Source organism: Homo sapiens, chromosome 3, assembly GCF_000001405.40.
Source record: "Homo sapiens chromosome 3, GRCh38.p14 Primary Assembly".
NCBI lineage: Eukaryota > Metazoa > Chordata > Mammalia > Primates > Hominidae > Homo > Homo sapiens.
Window position 1 is genome coordinate 70,078,340 of NC_000003.12, and position 25,469 is coordinate 70,103,808.

The 25,469-nt window shown below is 39.6% G+C and overlaps 1 long non-coding RNA gene across 13 annotated transcripts in view, besides 2 other annotated features; it reads left to right on the forward strand.

The window, feature by feature from the left end:
• The window catches only part of SAMMSON (survival associated mitochondrial melanoma specific oncogenic non-coding RNA), a 435,002-nt gene that overhangs the window by 78,752 nt on the left and 330,781 nt on the right, over positions 1-25,469 (forward strand). Inside the window, exon 5 of one of the 13 annotated variants that reach the window (NR_186026.1) lies at positions 6,387-6,490. The exons of the other annotated variants lie outside the window; for them this stretch is intronic. This is a non-coding gene — a long non-coding RNA (survival associated mitochondrial melanoma specific oncogenic non-coding RNA). The remainder of the gene's footprint in view (positions 1-6,386; positions 6,491-25,469) is intronic. 13 annotated transcript variants of the gene reach the window in all.
• Positions 18,069-18,178: an enhancer, noted in NCBI's record as "active region_20055". NCBI's record gives its function as "activates an Ori minimal core promoter by ATAC-STARR-seq in GM12878 lymphoblastoid cells {active_cell/tissue: GM12878}" and the evidence as "EXISTENCE:reporter gene assay evidence [ECO:0000049][PMID:35858748]".
• Positions 18,299-18,398: an enhancer, noted in NCBI's record as "active region_20056". NCBI's record gives its function as "activates an Ori minimal core promoter by ATAC-STARR-seq in GM12878 lymphoblastoid cells {active_cell/tissue: GM12878}" and the evidence as "EXISTENCE:reporter gene assay evidence [ECO:0000049][PMID:35858748]".

The following is a 25,469-nucleotide window of genomic DNA, read 5'->3' on the forward strand; positions in this document are numbered from 1 at the left end:
AATTAGGTTCACATAGGTGCATGCAGGTGCCGTTTGAAAGGTAATATTCTAAGTGTGGTTCACTAAGTCTCTGGGTGTGGAGTGGCAATGTGGTGGCCCTGATTCCAGATCATGCTTTTATCACTGTGTCTTTGAAATTAGCTGTTCTGTAGGCAGCCTTCAGATTCCCCACATTCTTGAGCAAGCAGATGTGGAGACTCCCCTGGCCCGCCAATTTTTCAGTGTGGTTACCTCGATTTATCTGCTTCTTTGGCCCTTCCTACAGTTTTGCAGGCTCTTATTTCTGTGTGTTAAATCCCTTTCTGCCCAAGTCCTTTACTTTTAAGCAACTGAACCCTGATCAATACCCCTGCAAATCTGGTTCAGATGACTCCGTAACAGGGCCAGGCCCAGAGTAAAGCAATACAGGCACCCATGGCACAAAACTTAAGTTGTTGGGCACGTTCAGGGTCATGGAAGTGTCTCTTTAAATTTTATGTCCTGGGCAACTCTCTTGCCTCACTTTAGTGCTGGCTCAGCTCAGTAAGCAAATAGCAGATGTTATTTATTTAAAAATAATTAAATCACATCTATAACAGATGTTGGCAAAATACAATCCATGGACTAAATCTGACCCACTGCCTGTTTTTGTAAATATAGTTCAGTTGGAACACAGCCGTGCTCTTCTTTTATGTACTATCTATGGCTGCTTTTGCACTGAAGAGCAGAATTGAGTAGTTGCAACAGAGACCGCAAAGCAGAAAATATTTACTCTCTGGCCATTTACAGAAAAAGTTTGCAGATTCATGCTCTATATGCTACTGTGGATATGCCTAAATGTGTGGGGTAAGACTGCCTGAGATCAAATTCTGGTTTCTCTATGAGTCTCTGGCTAAGTTGCTTAACTTCCATGAGTGGTGTGCTGGAATCACCCAAAACTTGTGGGTATCTCTTCTTAACTCTAGGTCCATTGATCATCTTGATAGCCTGAAATCAGCCATGGTGGGAGTATTTACTTTAGGAAAATTGGGAAATGCTACAAATCGAGGCTTCCCCAGAGACCCACGAACTGAACACTTGCTGCCTCTATAAGTATGGATGGACCCTGACTTATGATGGTGTGACTTATGATTTTTTTGACTTCACGATGGTGTGAAAGTGATATGCATTCAGTAGAAGCTGTGCTTCAAGTACCCATACAACTGTTCTGTTTTTTCCTTGCAGTACAGTAGTCAATAAACTAAATGAGATATTCAGCACTTTTCTATAAAATAGGCTTTGCGTTAGATAATTTTGCCCAAATATGTGCTAATGTAAGTGTTCTGAGCACACTTAAGGTGGATTAGGATAGGCTATGATGTTTGGTAGGTTAGGCATATTAAATGCATTTTTGACTTACGGTACTTTCAACTTATGGGGGGTTTATCAAGACGTAACCCCACTGTAAGTCGAGAGGCATCTGTACTAGATTCTTCTTTTTCCAAATGATGTGACACACACACTTAGTGCCACATCTGGAGCCTCTTTAACCATCAGTGCACCAAGCCCCCAGCTGCTGTGAGTGCTGCAGCTAACAGCTTATAGCTGTGCTCTCCTCAGGGGCAGCAAATGGCTTGCTGATATGGGTGGCACAAAAGCCCAGCTCCTTTGAACTATTCTGTCATGCAATTTATGCTCCCGAATGCCTCTCTTGCCATGGTTTAGACCATGGCTAGACTTTGCCTGGGATTCTTGATTGGCTTTTTCACCTTCTCTATCTGGCTTCACTTTTTTCATTACAGGTTTGTTCTAAAGAATTAAGTCCAGGATCCAGACTAGGTGAGGTGAGGACAGCGAAGTGCCTAGAGCACACAATATCAGGAGGCACTCACTGTCAGGCCAAACGAGTTGTACAACCCTTCTAGGAGGAAGAAAACAGGTGCCTCCTAAAATTTTATGGCTTAGCTGTTTCCCTCTTCTTACCCTAGTCTGGTCCCTCCTTGCCCAGATAAATCACATGCACTTGAATTTCTGCTTTAGCCTCTATTCGTCAGCAACCCAACCTAAGGCAAGTGGCAGTATAATGGATTGTTACCTATTGATTGTTTTAAGGACTAAATGAGTTAAGGTATGGGAAACAGCAATGATTGAAACAGTAATGGGGAATGAACAAATACATGTATAGATAGAAATGGTGATGAGACAGATCACTCCTGTGCCTTTGTATGTACTCTTCTCCCTACCTTCAGTGCATGCTCTGTTTCTATTGGCTTATCTAAATGCCATTGTCCCCCTCCTCCCTCCAAAACCCTATTTTGTCTATAAAACTCTTACTGGCTACAGCATTCTAAATGACATTAATTTACTCTACATAATTCTCCAATCCCTGACTCCGTTTTTTTTTTTTTAACCAAATAATTTTTTTCCTTCCATTGTGTTTATGTCCTATAAATCATCATCTGTATAACTTACTTGAATAGATTGACAAATGTGGTAAAATCAATATAACGATATTGCAAAAATGATCCTTAGAAGTGTGAAAAAAGATCCAGCTGATAACCTTTGAAGATGTGGTTCCTGTGCTTTCTACTAAGTGTTCAAGTATAAGGACAACCCAGGGCCTATAGTTCACTCCATGTGCAGCCCAGGGAGGTGGGTATTTTGTAATGCCTACAAAAGTTGTTTCTTTGAACGACAGACTTCTAATTGCTATATTGATAGGTATTCCCAGATATCTTAGCCAGTTTTGTTCATTGATACTGTCACCATCTATCTCAGCACTCTAATTTCTTCATAGCTTTCTTTGTTGTTGTTTTGTTTTTGTTTTTGTTTTTAAGACGGAGTCTCACTCTGTCACCCAGGCTGGAGTGCAGTGGCGCGATCTCTGCTCACTGCAAGCTCCGCCTCCAGGCTTCACTCCATTCTCCTGCCTCAGCCTTCCAAGTAGCTGGGACTACAGGCTCCTGCCACCATGCCCGGCTAATTTTTTGTATTTTTAGTAGAGACAGGGTTTCACCATGTCAGCCAGGATGGTCTCCATCTCCTGACCTCGTGATCAGCCCATGTAGGCCTCCCAAAGTGGAGGGATTACAGGCGTGAGCCACCGCGCCCGGCCTCTTCATAGTTTTTATCACCACTTATAATTTCCTAATTAATTTGCTTACTGACAATCTTTCATCCTAACAAGACTGTAAGCTCCATGAAGACAGGCTCTTCACTCACTCCCCATTGTTTGTAGCCCACCTTGTGCATGGCAGGCACTCAATGAATATACGTTGCAGTGACTGACAGAACAAATGAATTATGTAGACATTTTCAGAACTGGTGTATAGTGACATAGTATGGGCTCAGTATATATTTGCAGAGTGAGTGAATGAATGAAGTCACTTAAAGGAACCTTCTGGCACATGTTTCACTGGCAAAGAGCTTCTCTTATTTGAGTTTGATAAATATTGTTGCACTTTTCTACAAAGTACAATGAACAATCAATAGATATTCACAGGTGCTTTTCCTGAAATTAATCCTCATGGAGAAAATGCAGGAATGTGACACCTAAAATTGAAAGTGTGACACCACAAATTATTGACTCTAGAAGTACCCAAGTCATGAGGAGAAAGATGAGTTTAGGGTAAGGAGTGTAGCCAAAATGATTAGTGTGACATTCAAATGCTTTACAGATTGACACAAAGAGGGATGGGTTCACATCAGAGCTGTTGTGCAGGTGTAGTGCTATGACTTGGTAATGGGAGGCCCTGCTTTGACTGTTATTCCAACACAGGAACAAATCAGTTGATGTTGAAGATATCAGTCAACTCTGTCCTGATGTTGGCCTAAGAGCCTCCCTTAGAACTTATGTAGTGGGCTTGTTTGGAGATCATGGAGTGAACAAGGGCGGTGGGTATTAGGAGACCCACTCTGGCTCAAATAAGAACAGTGCTGCTTCTGTCTGGTAACACAATGGGAGAGAGAGTCTAAACAAATAATCCATATAACAAATAATGTCGATATAATTGTGATTAATATTAGTTAATAAAAGTCCAATGTCTTTAAAAGCATTTCCCAGAAGGAGCTAACCTAGGCCAGGGGTTCGGGGCAGTGTGTGTGAGTGTCTCTGCAGAAATGACATTTAATCTGAGAATGGAAGGTTAAACAGGAGTTAGGCTACATGTTGGTGGGGAAGGTGGTTTGGAGAGAAATTATTGCCGGTAAATTCTCAGCCTTTTTTCCTTAGGAAAATGAACCCTCAAACCACCTTGGTTTCTGCTCCTTTTCTTGCTTTCACATGCACTTACTTGCCAATACTTAGAGGGAACACAATGTAGTCAGTGGAAAAAATGTGGAGTGGTATGAACAGATGTTTGAACCCCAGCTCTGCTCTTCACTGAGCTGTGCATTCTTGGGTAGCCTTCTTGTTTTCTCTGAGCCTTATCTGTAAAACAGGACTGTCCATGAAATGTAGGGAGGATTAACAATTACTCTCCCAATGGCAAATGCTGCTATAGCATCTACCATGTACTGGTTTTAAAGTAACTCATTTAATCTTCCTAACAGCCCCATGAGATAGATGTGGTTGCTATCCCCATTTCTCAGATGTAGAAACTAAGGCAAGAGGTTAAATAATTTGACCAAGATCACATTGGCTGGTAAATGATGGAGCTAGGATTCAAATCCAGACAGCCTGGCTGTAAGGTCTCTGTGTTTTGCTACTAATTCTTGATTTTTAAAGTGGTCCCCAGGAAAGGGAGCAGAAGTAATCTTCGTTGTCATTTCCTTGGCTATTGGTGAACCTCAGACCCCAAGGACTTTTGTTGATCCGTAGGACTCCTCAGGGGCACAGGGCTTGGTTATCAGAAGCAAAAGCACTCACTTTTATTTAAGAGCTCAGTATTGTGATCATTTGCCAGAATTGGCCGTCTTGAAAGGATTGTATCGCTTGCCATTTGGTTTTCATTCTGAGGCCGCATGTGACTATAACGTAAATACTTATGGGGGATATCATTACTCTGAAATTTAAAGTTTACATGTCAGCTCCCTGTCTTTATAGCAACTGCTTTGGGTCATCTCTCTTCTTGTTCAAGCCAGGAACTCTGGAAAATCATTCTCATGCACAGATTTCTATGTCACCTCTATCCCCGACTTCTAGCAACTCAGGGAAGGGTGGAAGTGGTTCCACCTTATCCCATCTGTATAAGTCACCAAATCTTGGCCATGACCTGTGTTCAAAGACAGCATCAGGACCTTAAATTATGAGTTGTTCTCCAACAATTGCTGGATTTCTTTGAATGCCTCTGGGCGTTGAGGGCATCAAGGGGGAGGTCTTCTTCAAGGCAGTAGGGATTCATGCTCTTTTGGCTGCCTTCCTTTCTTTCCTGAAGCTTTGTTTGGTGAACTCCTGCAGATCCTCTGGTCTCAGTTCTGCATATCATTTTAGAACATAGCCTTCCTTCCTTGACTTCCTTCCCTGCATTGAATTCTGACCTCTTATTATGATCTGTCATCTCATCCTTACTTAACCTTCACACAGTATCTCCCTCTGTATATATATTTTTGCATGATTCATTTTGTTGTCTGTCTTTCTAGTGAAACTGTAAGCTGCATTCCAAGTAGGAGCTCCGTAAATAAGGGTGGAATGAGTGAATGAATGAATGAGTGGAGATGAGTAGCACTTACATAGCTATGATTCCTAGCATTAGCTGTTTTCATCATTCAGGCTAATTGGAATCCCAACCAGAGACCTTGAGATTTACTATGAAATATACCAGCACATACACTTTAAATGAATTTTGATTCCCCATCTCACTCTTCCACCTTGACACTTTCACATCAGGATGCCCATCACACGCCTCTTTCTCACTTTTTTTGTGTGTCGTTCTTCAGCATGAGATTCGTAAACAAACCTCAGTGGGAGTGCCCTCAGGAACTCATCCAAATCATTTTGCCTGGAGACTGTTTATTAGGGGTTACCTCTAGCCTGCTGCAACCTTTTCTAGAATCATGTAAGGGTAAAGTGGCGAACAAGAATGGATTTGAAACAGAAACCACCATAGCAATTAACACTAATTAACAGAGCTAAGAAAATCTTTCATTAGGAGCGTCTAAATCATGCAGCCTGCTTCTACTTAGAAGGGAAAGAAAAGTGGCCTGTGAACCATTTAATAAAATTTGAAGAGATTATTTTTCTTCCTCATTTCTCAGAGGATATACTGGGGTTGGAGAAGACAATTTGTTTAGAAGTGGAGTAATGGGAAAGGGGTACAGGCCCCTTGCCTTCGTGCCTGTCCACACTTCCCATGGTTCCGACCCTTGTGTTGAGTTGCTCAGCCAGGCACTTCCCTGCGTTACCTCCATGACAGCTTTCCCTCCCCATTAATTCTATATTTTCAAATTCTAGAGTCATAACCATGAGACTGACATTTTATTACTTGCAGACAACAGCAGCAACTACAAAAAGAGACAATATCTATTCAGCACCTACTGTGTTCCAGGCACACTATATGAATTACTTTGTTTAATTTGCAAGCAATTTTGTGAGGTAAGTGCCACTAGTATCCCCAATTTGCAGATGGGAATGGGACTATAGTATGGTAAAACAACTAATTACATTGACAAAGTAATGGACTGCAAGCTTATCCCTCCCAGACACAAAGTGTACATTAGAATAGCATGTGCTTGGAAACAAGATGTCTTACCTCAAGACTGGGTGGATGTAGGTGAGTTCTGGGGAGGAATCAGTGATGGCAGAGGGGAGAGGGTTAGTTACGGTTTCTGGATAAAGCGGTCAAGAGGTCATATTAGGAAGTGGCATGGCTTCAGAAGCCTCTCACATCAAACTGTAGAGTGGGCACCTTTTCCAACTGTATACTGGTTTGACCTTAACTATATATAGGGTCAATGACTAAGTTTTTACCAAGCTTCCCAATCCTGAAAAAAATATTTTGACGGCAAGAAACAGTTAATAGTTATCTGCTTAATATCCTTCTTGTTGGTAAGGGCTGACTCACTGAATAAACATGCGAGAATTCTTTCTGGGTTCCCCCTTTTTCATTATCACCTTCATGACTTGATTACTAGCTGGGATATTTTATTGCCACTCAGGACATTGAGACAAATGTAGGGAAGCCAGTCCAGTAAGGCTCGAACATTTGTAAGTTTTAAGACACCCTTCATTTGCTAAATTCCCTCCACCTGGGGGTGCTCAGTGGGACTACTTTGATTTGGGTAGGTTTCCTAATTTGAGTAAGTCTTCCATTACCAAGTTCACATTAAATTCACTTTTGGGGACCTCTTCTTGATATATTGAAGGAAGTCACTCTTCCTCCCAAACTCCTGACTTACCCAAATTTTATGAATACATTTTATGTTTCTTCTGGATTTTGTTAATATTTTAATAAGCATAATATGGTTGTTGTTAGTAGACTCAGTTTAAACACAAATAATTATATAGTGTCAGCTTCTTACAAACTCTACATTGCAGTTACTATCAATTTCACAATCTAGTTCCTCCCAAATACAGGAAGGACTAGTGTGAGACACAGAGCAATAGAACAAGTTCTCTTGCAGTGAGATACTCTTTTAAAGAAGTCATAAGCTGATCAACAAATGAAACCTTAATCATAGCCTATGGCTCTAGGGCTTCTGTTTCAATTTTAAGGAATAAAACAATACTAAGAGGTCTAGGCTGTTTAAGAATATCTAATAGTTGGCTATGGGTTTCTTAAAAGCATCACTTCTCAAGTAAGTATTTATCACAGTCACTGTATTATTTCCAAACACCTTTTAAAAAATTCTTATTGGATGTGGCAAGTCATTTCAACAAAAGGTCAGTCTGTTATTACTAAGAAAACCAGTGAAGGAAGCAAGTTTTATCTTTGGTGCTGACAAAAATCTCTCCTGAGCCTGGCTCAGGGGCCATGGCTTGCCTTCTCTCTTCTCACATCACCAGGGAGTTATACCTGATAGCTCTACTTTGTGGACTCATGGTTATCCTCTGTGGGTGTATCAATCTCTTTATCTTCTGCCTCAAGTGTGAAAATAATTTTCCCTCATTTTAACCAAGACGAATTTGGGTATTTTCAAAGGGATCTATTACGTAGTAATGAAAGTAAAATAAAATACATGCAAAGATAGAGATCTGAGCTTTTCCTGCCCATAATTTTACTCTGGCATGGTTGAGCTAGGATAAAATCCACTGGGTTGTCTGGTAAAGCTTATTGGGCAGCCTGCCCTGGTTTCTTTCACCATGCTGAGTTCTGTCTGGGTTGGATGCTAAAACAAGAGCCTCAGACTTCCAACTTGAAGCAGATTTTGGTTACAAGTCCTCCCAGGCCTGGTAAGATTTTTCTGTCTCTTCTAGAACTGGCTTCTTTAAATTCTGTAAATTCAGCCCCCTTAATCTGGGGCTACAGGGTTCTTGAATTCTTTCAAATGTCCTTGCTGGAGAAGTCTTTGCATGTAATGAGTTCTCATACTGATTATGATTAGTTCCAACAGCAGAGTTAACATGCGTTGAGCATTTTTCCCTTGCAATGTAGTGTCCTCAGTAATTTACACATGTATGGGTTTATTCATTTAATCCCCATGACAATCCCAGGAGGCATTATTAGTTTTATTTAGCTGAGGGGAAAAACTGAGGTATAGAGAAAGTAAAGCTACTTGCCCAAGGTTGCAGAGCTCCTGGCTGAGCCCCAAATACAGCCCGCGGCTGTTTGATTGAAAAGTTGAAGCACCATATAACCCCTTTCTGAACCTGAAAGATGCCATCTCTGAGCTTCAAGCAATCTTTAACTGGCCTTTGCTTTCTCCAGGAGGACACTGAGGATTCACTATATTGAAGTTCTCTTGCCCTGGATCTCCGCCATGTTGTTTTTCTGAAATATTCATAGTGGCCAATGGTTAAAGGATACTTTCCTTATTTGACCCTGACTTTGTAGCTTTGGGCCATAAATTGTCTTCTATTTTGACCAAGTCTCATTCCAGAATTCTATCTGCAAATAAACATTAGCTTATTTAATTTGATGGAAAATTAACTTAAAAAGTTTCCTGAGAGATACAAATGTATATTTTTGGAGGAGTAGCCAGTGCCATGCACTTTAGGTACATATTCTTGCCGACTTAGGGGTCTCAGCCTGAGACCTTTTTCTCTGTATGCACATTCGTCCAAAAATAGATTCAACCTTTGAAATGAAACAGATCTATTGACTCAGTAATTTTGTGGATTCCTTCCACAGGGAGGAAGGAATATCCTTCCTCTGAGATCCAAGTGGTATAGCCACGCATGTTCTCATTAGCAGAGATGACACTGGAGTTATTTTCTGACTCAGTAGAAAACATGAGAGAAGAGAAGGAAGGCTTTCCCATTTAAGAAATGGAGTGGGCTGGGGAAGGCATTATCCTTGTTATTTATCATCAAAACTGCATTTGGAGAAATGTGCCAAGAATGATCAGAAGAGAATCATGGGCACTTCAGTTCTCCAGAACTTCACTGTCTATAGCAGACACACACTGAAGCAGTCACAGCTCTAAAAGAAGGCAGTGTGCTTATTTATAAATAAATATAAATAAATAAGCATACTAATTTATGCTTGTTTAAGGGATGTATGGATGAGTTATTAAAGACAGGGGCAAATATCAGAAACCTAGCCATTTTTTAGTAAATTAAAATGATGCTTTATTGGCTGGCATAACTAAAATGTATAGGGGAGAGCATTGCTTAAGGTGTGGCTGAATCCAGGGGCCTAACTAATGATACAAGCATTTGCCTTCTTTCCGTTCTTTGGTTCTGCCTTCCTCTGTGATGGCTTTATTCCCAGGTAGGTTTTCTTCACTTAGGGTCTCCAAATGCTCTAGGGTTACAGTATAGAGTTCATGCAACCTTAGGATAACGATAGCTTTTCTTTTCTAATGCTTCCAACAGACATTCAACAATAAGCTTAGGTTGCATGCCAATCCCTGAGTTGGTCTCTTGGGTTAGAATATATGTGTTCTGATTGATTAAACCTGTGCCTATGCCCAACCATGGAGCAGGGACTAGGTTAGTCGTACTAACTAAGTCATGTGGACAGAGAGTGGATTAAGGGATAGTTTCAAGGGAAAACCATGATATTACAAGGAAGAGGAGGAAGGCAGAAATAACAGATGTTCACCATGGTGCATCCAACGTGCACCATGGTGCATCTCAACGGAAGTGAGAAAGTAACTAGGGATAAAAGGCAAGGCATATGGATAAGAGAAAAATGAGAGAAAGCCCATGTATAAATTGGCTAAGCCCTTCTCTGTTAAATTTGGGATCTTTTGTAGAGAAGGTGAGACGGTAGCTGAGATGTGTATTTGATATGGATGAGCTATCGTCATTCAGTAACTGAGCCTCAGTTTCCTCTTTTTTGAAACTGTGATAATATTTCTATAATAGTTTTGTTGGGAATTATCAAAAGAGATAATTCAAGGGAGAGAGATTAAACAAGTCAAAGGTATTATAGTAGTTCCTTGCATTCAGAAACTTGCAAGCCTCTCTATTGGTTATGATTTTCTCTATACAATAAGGTAGAGATGATAAGAAAATATGTTATCCCTCAAGATCTCAGATCAGAGTTATGTTGATAACCATGAACTGTGAGATGGGTACTGGGCAAGTGACTAGGCACATTGTGTATTTTCACTCAGAAAATTTCTGTTTCATTCCAGGTTTATGCCTCAGCAAAATGATGAGCAGACCAGGGTCTGCTCAGGGTCACTGAGAGTCAAAATAGAAGTTGCTAAATTTAAAAATATGTTTCCTCTGCACTAAAATGGGGCAATAAAAGAGGACGCTTGAAAAAACAAACTGCTTGTTATATTGCTTGCTATAATTTGCTATATTCTGACTTTTCCCAAGAAGATAGGTTTATTTGAGGATCTCTCTAAATGCCCAGACAAGAATAGAAGAGTTTTACTAAAGTAAGCTAATACATATATACTGAAAAGCAATCATAATATACTAATTAACATTTATTAATGAATGTACACTATGAGTACAGGTTCTCTGTGCTTAATATGCATCAGCACATGCAATCTTCACAGTAGTTTTATGAGGTAAGTGCAATTATTATCCCCAATTAATGCAAAGGAAAACTGAGTCAAACAGAGAAGTAAATTAGCCAAGGTTATTCAGCTTGGACGTAATGAATTTAGGATTCAAACTCAGAAAGCCTGTTCTGCTAACTGCTTCACTGTGATAACATCGTGCATTTTTTAGGCAGATGGACGGGGGGTGGGGGTGGGGCTGAGGGTGATGGGTGTTGGACTCCCAGCAGGACCAGTCACCACTATCACAAGTGATAGCTTGTGTTTCTCCATTGGGAAAATGCGTGTCAGAACGGCACCTACCTCTTTGGGTTATTTTGAGGAAGAATAAGGTGATGCTTTCAAGGTGTTTCGGTAGGGGCCATTTTTGGATGTTTTCAAAAAATATAGTTATTCTTGTTAATAATAATGATGATAATTTTCGCAAGGTTTAAAAAAAGTATTTGTCCAGGAGCAACTTTGACTCCCATGGGTCAATCTTTACAGGTAGAGTGTGGGAGTCTGCTTTTCCCAGCCCTGCATCTCTCCCCTTTGATGGATTAAATGCTCCTATTAAGCAGATGGCTGGGTAAATGTCCCCATTTTGCTGGCCTTACTTTTCTTGAGTGATTTCCTATTATAGGAAGGGAGTATCCCATAATAATGAAAAATTGGCAGTAGCTATTGATTAAATTCTTTCCTACCCTTTTTTTCCTTGACTTTCCCCCATTCGTTAAATATGAACACCTCAAAGACAGATGTAAAAAGGTAAAGGGAGGTTAGCTGGGATAGGGCTGCTTTCTTTCTCTTTAAGAACAAAATAGTATTTTGTTTTGTTAAAGTCCAATCTTCCTAATAGATCAAGGAAAGAGAAAAAGTTTAGATTACCCAATTACTGGTAATAAATTATTATTTTTTCTCTGGGACATATGAAATCTTAGGGTGGCAAATACCATCTGAGAAATGTTCTTTTTATTTTGGTAGCACAGCAACTCCAGAAAATAGGTTAATTGGTTCAGAGACTTGCTCTTACTGTTAATGGCATTTAGCTTGTGAAATTGAACAACTGTATCTCAAGACAGAATGTTCATAAAATCGATATTCTGGTTGCTAAGTGTGTGTTTTTAAGATATAGTTTGAATTAATTTATTCAAAGCCAGCTGGTGTTGTTCCCAGTATAACCTCTAGGAGGAAACCTCAACCCATGTTGTGTCTAAAATAATCGGGTTTTCGTTCTCTCTTTATTCAACTTTCATATTGTATCTAAGTTAGTACTTTTGATATTTCCAAGTTTTTTTTAAACATTTATGTAGAACACCACATAATTGCAGAAAAGATAATAGTCACATACCCTAGGGCCTACTGTACACTTATGTTAAAAGTACAGCTTTTATTGGCAACTAAAGTAATAACCTTTCCATGTCAAATTGCTTTAAATTAAACTTAAAAAAAAAAAAAACCATTGGCTGATACCCACACTTAGTAATTGTCAAACATTAGCATAATGTGGAATACTAAAGCTGCCTGAATCTTAGGCTTAAAAATAATTATTTACTTAGATAAATTTTGTATGCAGTAGCATATTATTAGAAATCCTTTCTTCCTCCTCCTTCTAAAAATGCAGGATCAATGTATATGTTAATATTATACTTAGGCTTGACATGTAAGTGGGACTGTAACTTATGTTAGCCTCTGAGAAAGGGGTCTTATTTAATCTCAGCTCATCCATCCATCATAGACCACATACAAATGGGGTGAATCGACACTTTGGATGGCTTAGCGTATTGTACTTTGTGTTGGGTGACCTAACACGTGACCCAAGGGGGAAAAATGCACAAGTCTATTTTTGATTAGGCTGCAACATGGCACAGTCTGCATAATTTCCAACCATTTCAAGGCACTTGGGAGATGAGGATCCTAAATGATTGTGTATGTGAAGCCCTCAGGCATGGGTCGCAGCCGCCTTTCACACTAATGCATTTGTATTTCCCAGATCTCTCTTGGCTCAACCATAGAGATTTCCACTGAAACAAGCTTACAAGGGCTTCAGGTTGGTGGGATTTGTGTGGTTTTCAGGCTCTATCCCAAGACTGGGGACTATCTGGGCACATCTGACTGCTGCAGCCAAAATAATTTTTGTCAACTTTATGGCACATTGATAATTCGAAGTAAAACTTTATCAGTAGGGACTGACTTCCTGTTGTTCACTGATTTTATAAAATCCTGCTTGTAGTCACCTTGAGCAATTCCCTTCCAAATCTGTTGATGAGGCATCTTGAAAGTAACCACTTCCAATATCCAAGAATGCTGACGTATATGGACAGCCTAATAAGCAAGTCTGGCAACATCATAAGCTGGGAGTGACAGGCAAATATTTGGTGATGTCTCCAGAAACTAGAGACTCATAGGACAGGCACACAATAGATGCTGGAGGAGCCTTCATTTGTCTAAACTGTATTCTTCTAAAAGTCAAGAGGTATGCACTCAAAGATCTCTAATGATAGTGGACAGGCAGGGTTCTCAGAAGGAATAATATTATAATCTCAAATATTCAGTTGAACTCCATGTGCCTACATTTTGGAACCCCTGTCTGCCTTCTTTCAGTTCATACACGAAGTAAAGGAAATTAAGGGGTTTTTTTTGTTTTGTTTTGTTTTATTTTTTAATTTCTCCTCATTGAACCTGAAACCACTAATATCCAAGAGGCATCTAGGAATAAGGAAGCGAAGATCTAGGCTCTAGGCCTGGGTTTCCACTGTGCTGGTTAACTTTGATTTGGAAATGAACCTCTCTGGTCTCAATTTGCCTGTATGCGAAGTGATACTTGCTTTGAAATTAAGTCACGAAATGAGAGTGGAATTAGATGAGGTTTTCAAAGATTATGCTCCTGAAGCTATATATAGTTTTAGTTTTTTTTTTAATTTTTAAGTTTTGTGGGCACATAGTAGATATATATGTATTCATGGGTATATGAGAATATACATGATGGACACTTCTGTTTCCTCCAAACGTGCCTTACTCATTCCCACCTTTGGGTCATCAGTTGCATCATTTTTCACCTGGAATAACTTCTACATTCCATTTCATCATCTTTCTTGATCAAACTCATGCTGTTTTTTTTTTTTATAAAGCTTTCGTCTCATTGTTTTCTCATCATTCGAGAATCATATGACATGATCATCTCTCCTACATCATCTATCATTTTATTATTTCCTGCTTTGTACTGTTTAATTTAAAACTGCTATTCTTTCCTCCCACCCAAAGAAGAACCTTTCTTCTTTGTTCCCAAGCTGGGGCCCTGCATAAACTCGTTCTGTATTCTGTTCAACACTCATTACATTGCTCAGCACACAGTCGGAGCTTAATAGACACTGGATGCTTAATTTTTTAATTACCTGTTCACTTGGTATCTCATCTTATCCTGTCGTAAATGCAAATGTACTTTTGTGTATAGATGTGACCATTACTCCTTTTATTTGTGGAAGAGGTACCTGAGACAGACAGGTTTAGTGATTCGCTTGATAAAGTTCTGAGGGAGGGTCTCCGGATGTGTTGTCTAGTGTTTTTGTTTTTTTTTTTTTGTTTTTTTTTTCCACCAGATAAATATTCTTCAAATTTTCTTCTGCAAATCAGTTCCAGAGATCCTCAGGGGGCTCTCCTGGGATGGGAACAGTGAGAACCATGGGATGAGAAAGAGAGTGGAGTGATCTGAGGCACGGCTGGGTATCTTTGCTGATCCTCATATTTCAAACCCTTGCTTGTTTCATGTCTCTTCCACAACAATGTGAGCTTCCATAGCTAAAGGGCTGTCTTTTCTCTGCCTTCAATGTTCTTGCCTTCTTCTCTGAATAGCATGGGACAGGGCATAATCAGAATAATGCGCACTGACAGAGAGCACACTCAATGTCAGGCAGTGAGTCAAACATCTTTCATGGATAACTTCACTTAATTCCCACAGCAGGTTTATGGGCAACTGTGCCCATTTTGTAGATAAGAAAATTGAGGCTACCAAAAACTAAACAAGAGCTGCAGAAATGATCTGGACCAGCTGTTAAGACTCTTGAGGATGATACTATCTTAGATTGTCAATGGCTTGGATTGTAGATCTTTCTGCCTCAAGAAAAGGCAACTTGGTTGTTTGTAGATGACTAAATGACTTGCTCTGTGTTAGACCTCTGCCACAACCGTCTTCTGAATTAAAGAAACTGTCTTTAAGATAATTTCTTATTTACATGGTGCACACAGGTCTCCTCTTTGGGTGACATTTAGTAATGTCCTTCCAGCTGGATACAAGGGTGGGGTTTGGGTATGGTGCACAGAGATCCCTGAATAGCTATGCAAAGAAGGAGTCAAGATTGTGAAATTCCATGTATCCCATGTGGCACGGTGGAGTGGGCAGATCTCTTTGGTTCTTTAGTTTAGAGATGCAAACTGAGACTCAGAAATACTTCTGAAGAAAGTGTTTGAAATGACGCCTGGAGCAAAACCATATTGGCCCATTCATTTAAAAAAATCTGTTTTCTAAAACCAAAGCTTTTTGATTCTTAAATGGGTGATTGAAGTCCTCAGTCAAAGCCCTTAGGTGCCTTTGAGGGACGTTTTGCAACCCCTAACCTTCTGTAGTAAATTTTCAATGTTTTATTTTGTGATATATGGGGAACCAAAAACCTGACTCTGGGGGCCAACATTCCTGAGGCTCTGCCTTTGACTTTGGAAAACGGGAACCATCAGCCTGAAATTGGTGCAAATTATATAAAATTCAGATTGTGCACGGCTGAAACCTTTGAATCCTCCTTGATCTCTCCTCTCACCTTCCCTTGCCCAATCACTGTTTTCATCTCCAAAATATCTCTTGATCATGCCTGCTGCTCTCCATCCCTATCGGCTCCACTGTATAGGCCACCACCAGGATCTCATCTAATAGCCTCATGACATCTGTTCTGAACTCATCTAATAGCCTCAGACATCTATTATTGACTCCTTCCAGTGTATTCTACTCCAGAGTTCAGAGTAATGTTCTCAAAATGCAAATATGATTACGTGAGCCTCCCACTTCCCCATCCCCACTAAATACCTTTGATGACGTTCCACTCCATTGCTCTTAAGATAAAGACAAAATTACTTAATATGCTCTAAAATTCTCTGCACTGTCTGGCTCTTCTGAGCTCTCTCACCTCTCCCCAATGTCTCAGTCCCACCCTGAATGGCCTTTTTTCATCCTGTCTGATTTAAATTGTCCCTTCCTGCCACAGGGCCTTTGTGTTTGCTATTCTCACAGCCTGGAATGCCTGTCTCTCTTTAATAAAGTTTTACTTAAATTTCATATTTCAGCTTAAGTGGCCCTTACTCCCTGGTTGGCTAAATGTTACGAACTGAAGGTGGGTCCACCTATCCTGTGCAGCAAAGCCAAACACTGACATTGAGATGGCAGCGAGAGAAAGAGTGAGGCATTTGTTGCAGGGTGCCAACCAAGGAGAATCAGGCAGCTGATGCTGAACTCTTGAACTTCTTGACAGGTTACAGGTAAGGGTTTTTAAAGGTGGGGAGGGAGAGGTTACAGGCAAAGTCATAAATCAATACATAGAGGCTGTACATTGATTTCACCTAAAAAGGCAGGGCATCTCAAAGCAGGATCCCACAGGAGTCACAGGTAGATTCAAAGATTTTCTAATTTGCAATTGCTTAAGGAGGTGAAACTTTGTCTAAAAATTTGGGGTCAGCATGAAACAATGTTAGCTTTGGCTAGTAAGCGTCATCACCTCCAGGCCCCTCAGGAAGAAATTTAGAGCAAAGAATGGAGGTCAGGGTTCAGTCCTCAGTTTTCCCTTATCTTAGGTCTACGTGCCAGTAGATCCATTTGGTGGAGGTCCAGGTTTCTGAAAAACCACAGGAGGACATATGTTAAGAGGTTATCTTTAGTTCCCTTAGGGAACAAACCATCTTTTGACTCTAACTTCCATGGCTGTGTTTTTAAGCTACTTTTACCTTCTTGCTTATTAAGTTGCTCATTTGCTTCTCAGGGCTAGCTAGGTGCCTGGAATTTCCCTTAAATAAACTCAAGATTTTCCTTTATTTCCATGCTTGATGGGAGAGGGAGGTGCCTGACAGGCTCCTAAGAGAGGTCCCTGCTCCATCTCAAATCCTTTATGAGAGACTGTTGTGCAATCACATACTTTTCTTTGTAGGACTCGTCGTGTTATATATTTCACATTTGTTAGCATGATTTTAGCATTATGTTTAAAAAGTAGGCTCAACACCCAGCTCTGCCAATTGCCAGGAAGGGGAACCTGAGCACTCAATTTCTGTTGGCCTCAGTTTCCTCACCTATAAAATATAGACAGTAATGGTTCTTAGGAGTTGTTTTGAGGGTTAAATAAGAAAATATATAGAAAGAACTTAGGCTATTTATGTGCCACAAATAAGTGCTATCTAAGTGTTAACTATAATATTCTTGTTAACTATAATATGTCAGTGCTTATCTACCCCACTTCACTAGAAGTTCTGTGGGGTCCAAGAAAATAACTAATTTGACGTATGGTTGCATCTCAATGCATATCACTGACACATATAAGATTATTGCCACATTACCACAAACTTAGAGTCTGAATCTAACACATGTTTATTTTTCCACAGTTTCTGTGGTCATGAGTCCAGCATGACTGAGCTGAGCTTTCTGCCTCAGGGTCTCTCACAAGTCAACGTTCAAGGTATTGGGCAAGGATAAGGTCTCATTTGAAGGTTTTACTGGGGAAGGCTCTTCCTCTAACCTCACATGGTTATTGGCAGGATTTAGTTCCCTGTGGGTCATTGAACTGAGAGCCTCAGTTTCCTGCTGGCTGCTGGACAGAGGCTGTCACCAGTTTCTTGCCAGGTGGGCCTCTTCTACTTGGTCACTTGCTTCATCTAAGCTAGCAAGTTAGACAGTCTTGGCTGGTGCAGTGGCTCATGCCAGTAATCCCAGCACTTTGGGAGGCCAAGGTGGAAGGATAGCTTGAGGCCAGGAGTTTGAGACCAGCCTGGGCAACATACTGGGACCTCGTCTCTACAAAAATTACAAAAATTAGCTTGGTGCGGTGGCGCATACCTGTAGTTCCAGCTACTCAGGAGACTGAGAAGAGAGGATTGCTTGAGCCCAGGAAGTTGAAGCTGCAGTGAGCTATGATTGCACCACTGCGCTCCAGCCTAGGCCACAGAGTGAGCCCTTCTCTCAAAGAGAGAGAGTCTGCTAACAAGACAAAAGTCACATCTATGACTAATCCTGAAAGTGACATTCTGTGACCTTTTGTTCACAAGTAGGTTACAGGTCCTATTTATACTCAAAGGAAGGATACTACACAAGGCCATAAATACCAAGAGATGAGGGCCACTGGGGGGTCATCTTAGAAGCTGCCTACAGAATTAATTAGTTAATTAACAGCAACATGTTGTTATTGTCCATGTAGCTCCTCATTCTGTTAACAAGGTCACAGAATGTATGTCTAGAATAGCGTTGATCAAACCCTGTTCTGTGTAACCCTAAAGAACTATGAGGTGTTGAGAGATGTCTATGGCCTGGTGAGTTTGAGAAACACTGGATTGAACCATGTAAAACTAGCTTGTGACATTTTCTGAATTGAAAATACAAATACGACCTGTGATCTTCCTGGAAGAAGACATGATCATATGGCTAAAGAATCATAAAAGTTGTTTTTCTCCCCTTGCAGATCACATATAAGCCTCTTATAGCACAATCTGGGAAATGCTGACCCATATGTGAATGAATATTGGGTGCCACCCCAAACACTGGTTTTAACACAGCTGGTAAAAGAGAACTGTGAAAAGCCATACCTCTGGTAGATGATTGTGGGATGAATGAATGAATTTGGAGTTTACACAAAGCAGTCAGAATTGTTGTTCAAACAGAGAAAAAACAAAGCCAAGGTCAGGAGAGATGTGGGCCCTAGATGGCACTCATGATTCTGTTTCTTCACCATGAGGCCTACTGTTCTTTGAAAGCAGGACAGTCTTATTCCAAGTATTGGTTCTTTCTCCAAAGGAGGCTAGGCACAAAATTGTGGATGAACCGGTATAAACCATTACCTGCTATTAGGAAAACTACTTGAATAAACTTCTTTTGCTATTTTTATAAAGCATCTAGTCTATATATTTCCATTAAATTTTATAACTTGATTTGTTGCCTTCAGCCCAAACCCTAGTTTATTCCTAACAGGCCCCAAATCAGGATGAATCGTATTGGCAGATGTTGGGTGCCAAGACTGAAGTCACTTATTCGAAAGGGCTCAGAATTATTACGGCAAATTGAAACTCCAAATACAATTTGTATCATTAACCTCTTAGGGATTATATTTTTGACTTTCTCCTATGTGACATATATCTGGTCACATATTCATTGTGAACCAGTGCTTAAAATGCATAATCCTCAAAGGTTACTCGCAATCATTTAAAAGACCCTATATTCATCTCAAAACCCAGAACCGGGAGATAAGGTTTGAGAAATGGCTGAATGGGATACTGGAATAAACAAACCATTTCATAGTTCTTAAAATAAAGCACTTATGGAGCACATTTTTATCTACAAAGCTTGAGAAATGAATGTATTAATCCTCACAACATTCTTCATATTATTCTCACCACATAATAAATAGGGAGCAAGGGGTTGAAAGGTTAAATTAGCTTTTTCTCCCCTCCTTGGGGAACTTGATATTACTTTTGAATTAGAATTAAGTCATTTGTGTTCTCCAGCTTTAAGTTTGTGCTGCTTTTGCCAAATTTACCCACTTGTGGATTTTTGGGGGATAGAGAAATTATTGCAGGGCAATTTTGCCTCTAGAGTCCAGGTTTTTTGAGACTAGAGTCCAGATAAAGTCAGCATCTTGTCCAAACCTTCTTGGGAAATGTAGGGTTTGTGTGTCGTTTCATCAATGGCAGGAATCCCTGCAAACTGAAAGCGGTCTCACACATCTTGCCTCTCTCCCTTCCCTCCTATCCTGTTCCGTTCTCCCTACTGCCACCTGAGTGAGCTCTCTTTTTCTTTTTTCTTTCTTTTTTTTTGAGACGGAATCTCGCTCTCTCTCCCAGGCTGGAGTGCAGTAGCACAGTCTCGGCTCACTGCAACTTCCACCTCCCTGGTTCAAGCAATTCTCCTGCTTCAGCCTCCCGAGTAGTTGGGAGTATAGGTGCCTGCCACTACGCCTGGCTAATTTATGTATTTTTTAGTAGAAACGGGGTTTCACCATCTTGGCCAGGTTGGTCTTAAACTCCTGACATTGTGATCCACCCGCCTCGGCCTCCCAAAGTGCTGGGATTACAGGTGTGAGCCACCACGCCCGGCCTCTTTTTCATTTCTAAAATTTTACTTTGAAGTATAAAGTGTACAAAAAGGTACAAAGGATAGTACAATGTATTCCTATGTCCCTATCACCCTGCTTAAGAAAAAATATTATCAGAATAAGGAGAAACTCCCAGGGGTTTTGTGCCCCTGTAGTAAAAAACCCTTCTCTTAAAGTGTGGCGATTATTGTTTTCATTTACCTTGCTTTTCTTTACATTTTACTATATCTATGTGTGTCTTGAAGCAATATAGATTATTACACCGCATGTTTTCAGACTTTATATATATGACTGGCATGATAAGGCTTATATCTTTCTGCAACTAGTTTTTTCTCTATGTCACTTAATTTTAAATTTAAGAGATTCACCTTTGATATGTAAGGCTCTAGTTCATTTTTAATGCAATTTAATGTTTCACTGTATGAATAGATCACACTTTTGTGCTATTTCCTTTTGTCAGACATTTAAGTTTTTATATATATTTCAAATATTGACACTACTTCTATTAAGATTCTTGCACATGTATATTTACACACAAATATTATATTTATTTCTAAGGTCTATTACAAAAAGGTGAATTGTTGGATCAAAGGTATTGGCGTTTTAAACTTTTATTGACCATTGCCACATAGTTCTCTTGAGTGATTATACCAATTTACTCTCCCATTAACAGTGTATAAAAGTTCTGCTTGTTCCACATTTTGATTGCACTCGGTATTGTCAGATTTGTGTATCTGATGGGTTTTAAATGACACTTCATTGTGTTTTGACTTCCATTTTTCCCATTCCTACCACAGCTAAATATCTTCTAAAATGTTTCTATGGTCATTTAGGGTTTGTGTTCTGGAAATTTGTCTAAAATTTTTATCAGTTTTTCAACTGGATGGTCTTTTTATTGATTTATAATTGTTCTTTATATATTCTGGATATCAATTGTTTGTCAATTATATGTTTTGCCAAAATTATTAATATTTTCTTCAAGCTTGTTCTTTGTTGCCTTCAGTTTGGCCTTGATTACTCCTGCAGTCTTGTTTCTAAACATTCTCCATCTCCTACTTAAGTTTTGGCAAATACGTCTCATTCTTCCAAGTTCTTGCTCACGTGGTCCCCTCTGCAGTTACCTGCTCTTTGGCTGGTTAACATTTATTACTTTTTCATAACCCAATATTCTGGGGAGTTTTTGCTACCCTGCACCGTCCCTCTCTGTGTACTTGCATGTTCCCTGTGCAGACCTGTGAAGACCTGTCAGCTTATCTCCTCTCAGAAGTAACTGTCCTGAGGAAGAACATAGTGCCACATGAGTTTTGCCAACTTCACATATGGCTTTGGTGAAGCCTTCCTGAATGGCCTACCAGAAATGGCTGGTGAAATGGCCTTCCGAGGAAATGTTCAGCCAAGGCTCAGCTACAGAGTCCAGGTCCTATATCAACACTCTGATTAATTTAGTTTTGGCAGTATTTTCATTGGGGGTGCATATTTTCATACTCTTTTTTTTTAATTTGAGACAGGGTGTTGCTCTATCACTCAGGCTGGAGTGCAGTGGCACCATCACAGCTCACTGCAGCCTCAACCTCCCAGGCTCAAGCAATCCTGCCACCTCAGCCCTCTGAGTAACTAGAACTACAGATACGAGCCATAACATCCGGCTAATTTTTGTATTTTTTTGTAGAGACGAGGTTTCACTGTGTTGCTCAGGCTGGTCTCGAACTCTTGAGCTCAAGCAATCTGTTTACCTTGGCCTCCCAAAGTGCTGGGATTGCAGGCATGAGCCACCATACCCGGCCCATCATAGTCTTTCAAACCAGCAGCATTTTTATCCAGTTTTCAAAGGCAGTTATCCACTTGAAAGAGTGGGGGGGGGGGGGGGGGGAAGCACCAAATGTAGTTTTCTGAAGTCTAGAAAAAAACTCATAGAAATTTTTCCCTAATTCTTTCCCAAGAATCTTTTCCAAATGGAACTCATCGAAGAACTTCCAATTTCCTGCCTAAAGTGAACGTGAATCTGAACGATATGTTAATTTACTCTGTTCTCTTGTGTGAGTGACAAGGACATGCATTGGGACATCTATTATTTTGAAGCTGGGATCTAGCCCAACTAAGGGGGGAAAAAATCAACATACCAAACTGTGTATTATTTACACATTTCAATATTTAATTTCCTGTCTCCATTACACATATTTTAGTATGCAGATTATTTGCCCAACATAATTTATCAGTTCCTTGTTAGATAATATTCTCCTCAGGGTACATATTGTTCATATTTAGAAATTCTTATTAATCTTGAGAATCACATTGTTTATCCAACAAAATTATTACAGCTTTGATGAAGCTTTTAAAGTGTAACATGTAAATCACTATTTTCTCACTTTCATAAGCAGCTGAATTTTTGATCTGGTGGATTATTATGGTTTAGAAGATATTTAGTCTTAGGGAAAATGCACAAGATGGTGCAGTAATGTGTAGATGAGGCTATATAATTACAACTGCTGTTAATGACAAATTGCTATCACTGTAGCTACCCCCTCCTCCAAATTGCCTTTGTTCAATAGATAAATGAGTAGTGCTATCCAGTGTTGTTATAAATCAGATGGGTCCAATATTTAAAACCATACATATTATAATAACAAATGACAGGATGGAAGAAGTAAACACATATTTAGGTACTTATAATTACTTATTTTCTAAATTTTATATTGATTACTTTGCCTGGGAAAATATTGGGGACATTTTTTATGAAAAAAAAACGTACAAGAATTGCATTATAAGAGGCATAATTATTATTTGATAATTTACCTCGTTGTTTACATATAGGTTTATTTTGATGCTGGATGAGGCCATCCCAAGTGCATTAATTGTATAGATTAAAGAGTGAGAAAATAAATATGTCTTTTAATTTTTTAGTGTTTTTGAGAAAAAAGTACCTTCCTTCTTTGTGAATTATGGTTTTACATGAGACAATAAGCGTTATTTACACTACATGCTAATGTATTTAAAATACCTTACATCTGGAGAGCCTTTTACCTCTTGCAAGCATATTTATATCCGTGGTTGCATTTTGTCCCTCCAGTATCCCTGGAATTATAGAATTCCTCATTTGACTCGTAAGGAAACAGACCAAAAAGGTTAAGTGGCTTAAATAAAGCTGAAAAATCAATTAATAACGAAACTAAAATTATAATTTCCTGACTTCACAGATAATGGCTTTTTGAAAACATAGACAAAATGTAGAAGGTTGAACAATGATTAAAAGTTATGAGGTTTTGTAATACAAGTTATGAAGGTTTGGTAGTGTTCCAATATTGGAAACAAATGATCAGTTCCCTAGTTATATCCACTAGTTTCTGTCTTTAATATATTTTCAACATTTCCTTTGTGTTCTTGACTTAGGTCTTTTCCTTCATAGTTAACATATAGCTAAAGTCCAGTGAGCATTCAACGGAGGAAACATGCTTGCCATTTTCAGGATGTTTAGAGATTCCATCTTAGTCTTATCTGAATTAAGTTGATAAGCTCTACACATTTTGTTTTTACTAAAATCAGCAATTTCATCTTTTTCTCCTCTTCTCTATTCTTAGCAATAATAATATAACTTTCAAACAAATTCCCATAAGCTGCTACCCAGATGAAATATAACAAAGCCATCATGAAACTGTGAGGAATATCTGTTCATCAGCTGATGTAAAAATACTTCAATTTGGCATCAAAAAACTGTTTTAACTGTGAACATATAACATACTGAAGTATGATTCTTATCAAATTTGAAGACCATCTGTAGTAATTTTTCTAGGGACGTCTGGGATCTTTCTGAGAATCCCACTTCGTAGTTGAATGGAAAGACCATTGGAGGAGCATCTCTAGTCTCCAGTTCAGGCCACTTCTTTCCCAGATTTTTCATTCCTCTTTCACCAATGAGCTGGGTGGCAGGGGTGATATCATGTCTATTCTGTAAGGTAAACTGGGTAAAGGAGGGAGAATTCATCACTGATCTTGTACGAACAGCTCCAAGTTCAAGCTCACAGTCAATGAGCTTAGAGAGTCAGCTCCTGGTTCAAAGGATTGCATCTTGACCCTGGTCTCTAAATGCGTGCAAACTGGGTCTCTGTAGTCATCAGGAGAGAATGGACATAGAGAGCGAAAGTTAATGGATGTATTTGGTTGTTCCTTCGGCTTTGATTGCTCTGCTCTGCTCTTTGCTTTGGCCCAGCCTTATTCCCCTTTCCCTCTCTTATGTACAGTGCCTCTCTGTTGAGAATGGTGTGATTAAAGGGAAGCAGACCAGCCCCTTTGATAGCCAATTTGGAAAACTTTCTACTAAAAACCATTTTTCTACTTCAGGGATTGCAAACTCAAATGCACAGTGAAATGGGTCATATAAATATGTAAAGCAGGCCAAGGTTGGCACTTGAGTGATGTGGACTCTGGCAAACTGGAATGCCCCACCTAAAGGAGTGGCTTCCACTAAGCTTCAACAAATTGGTACCGTGCTGGAATGCAGGCCCACGGTTACCTGAGTATCTCAGGTTTTTCAACAAAACCCCCAAATCTGGATTTTTGTATGAAATCTCTTGATTTAACAAATTAAAAAACAAAGCAAACCATCATGTAGGCCAAACAAAATATGCCAGATTGCAATCAGTATTTCCATGTGAATGTGGAGACCAGATTGAGGGAGAGGGAAGAAACGAAGGCTATGGCAATGTTTCCCAGTTTACATAAGTTACCTGCATCTAGATGTATGAGGTTAATCCCAAGCCAAATGGTTTCCTGCCATATAGAAATGGCAGAGCAAACTTCTTATCCCAGTGTATGCAAAATTTGCACATCTATACATTTTTATGGTGAAAATGTCAATGGCTTTTATTAGATTCTCAAAAAGTCTGTCACCCTAAAAGATTGTGAATCTCTTCGGTTACATCCTTGACAAGTTGTCATCTAGTTTCTACTTGAATTCTCCTGGGAGCAGGAAACTTACTACTGCACAAGATAGCCCACTCCTAATTTAGACAGCTCTGAAGGTAGAAAACTTCTTATTGGCGAAAATTCTTACTCAACTCTTTTGTTATTGGAGGCTAAAAAAGGCATCTAATCTTTAACTAGGAAAATGCACTTGAAACAATCATCTTAGAAATTAAGAGGTTGCTATAA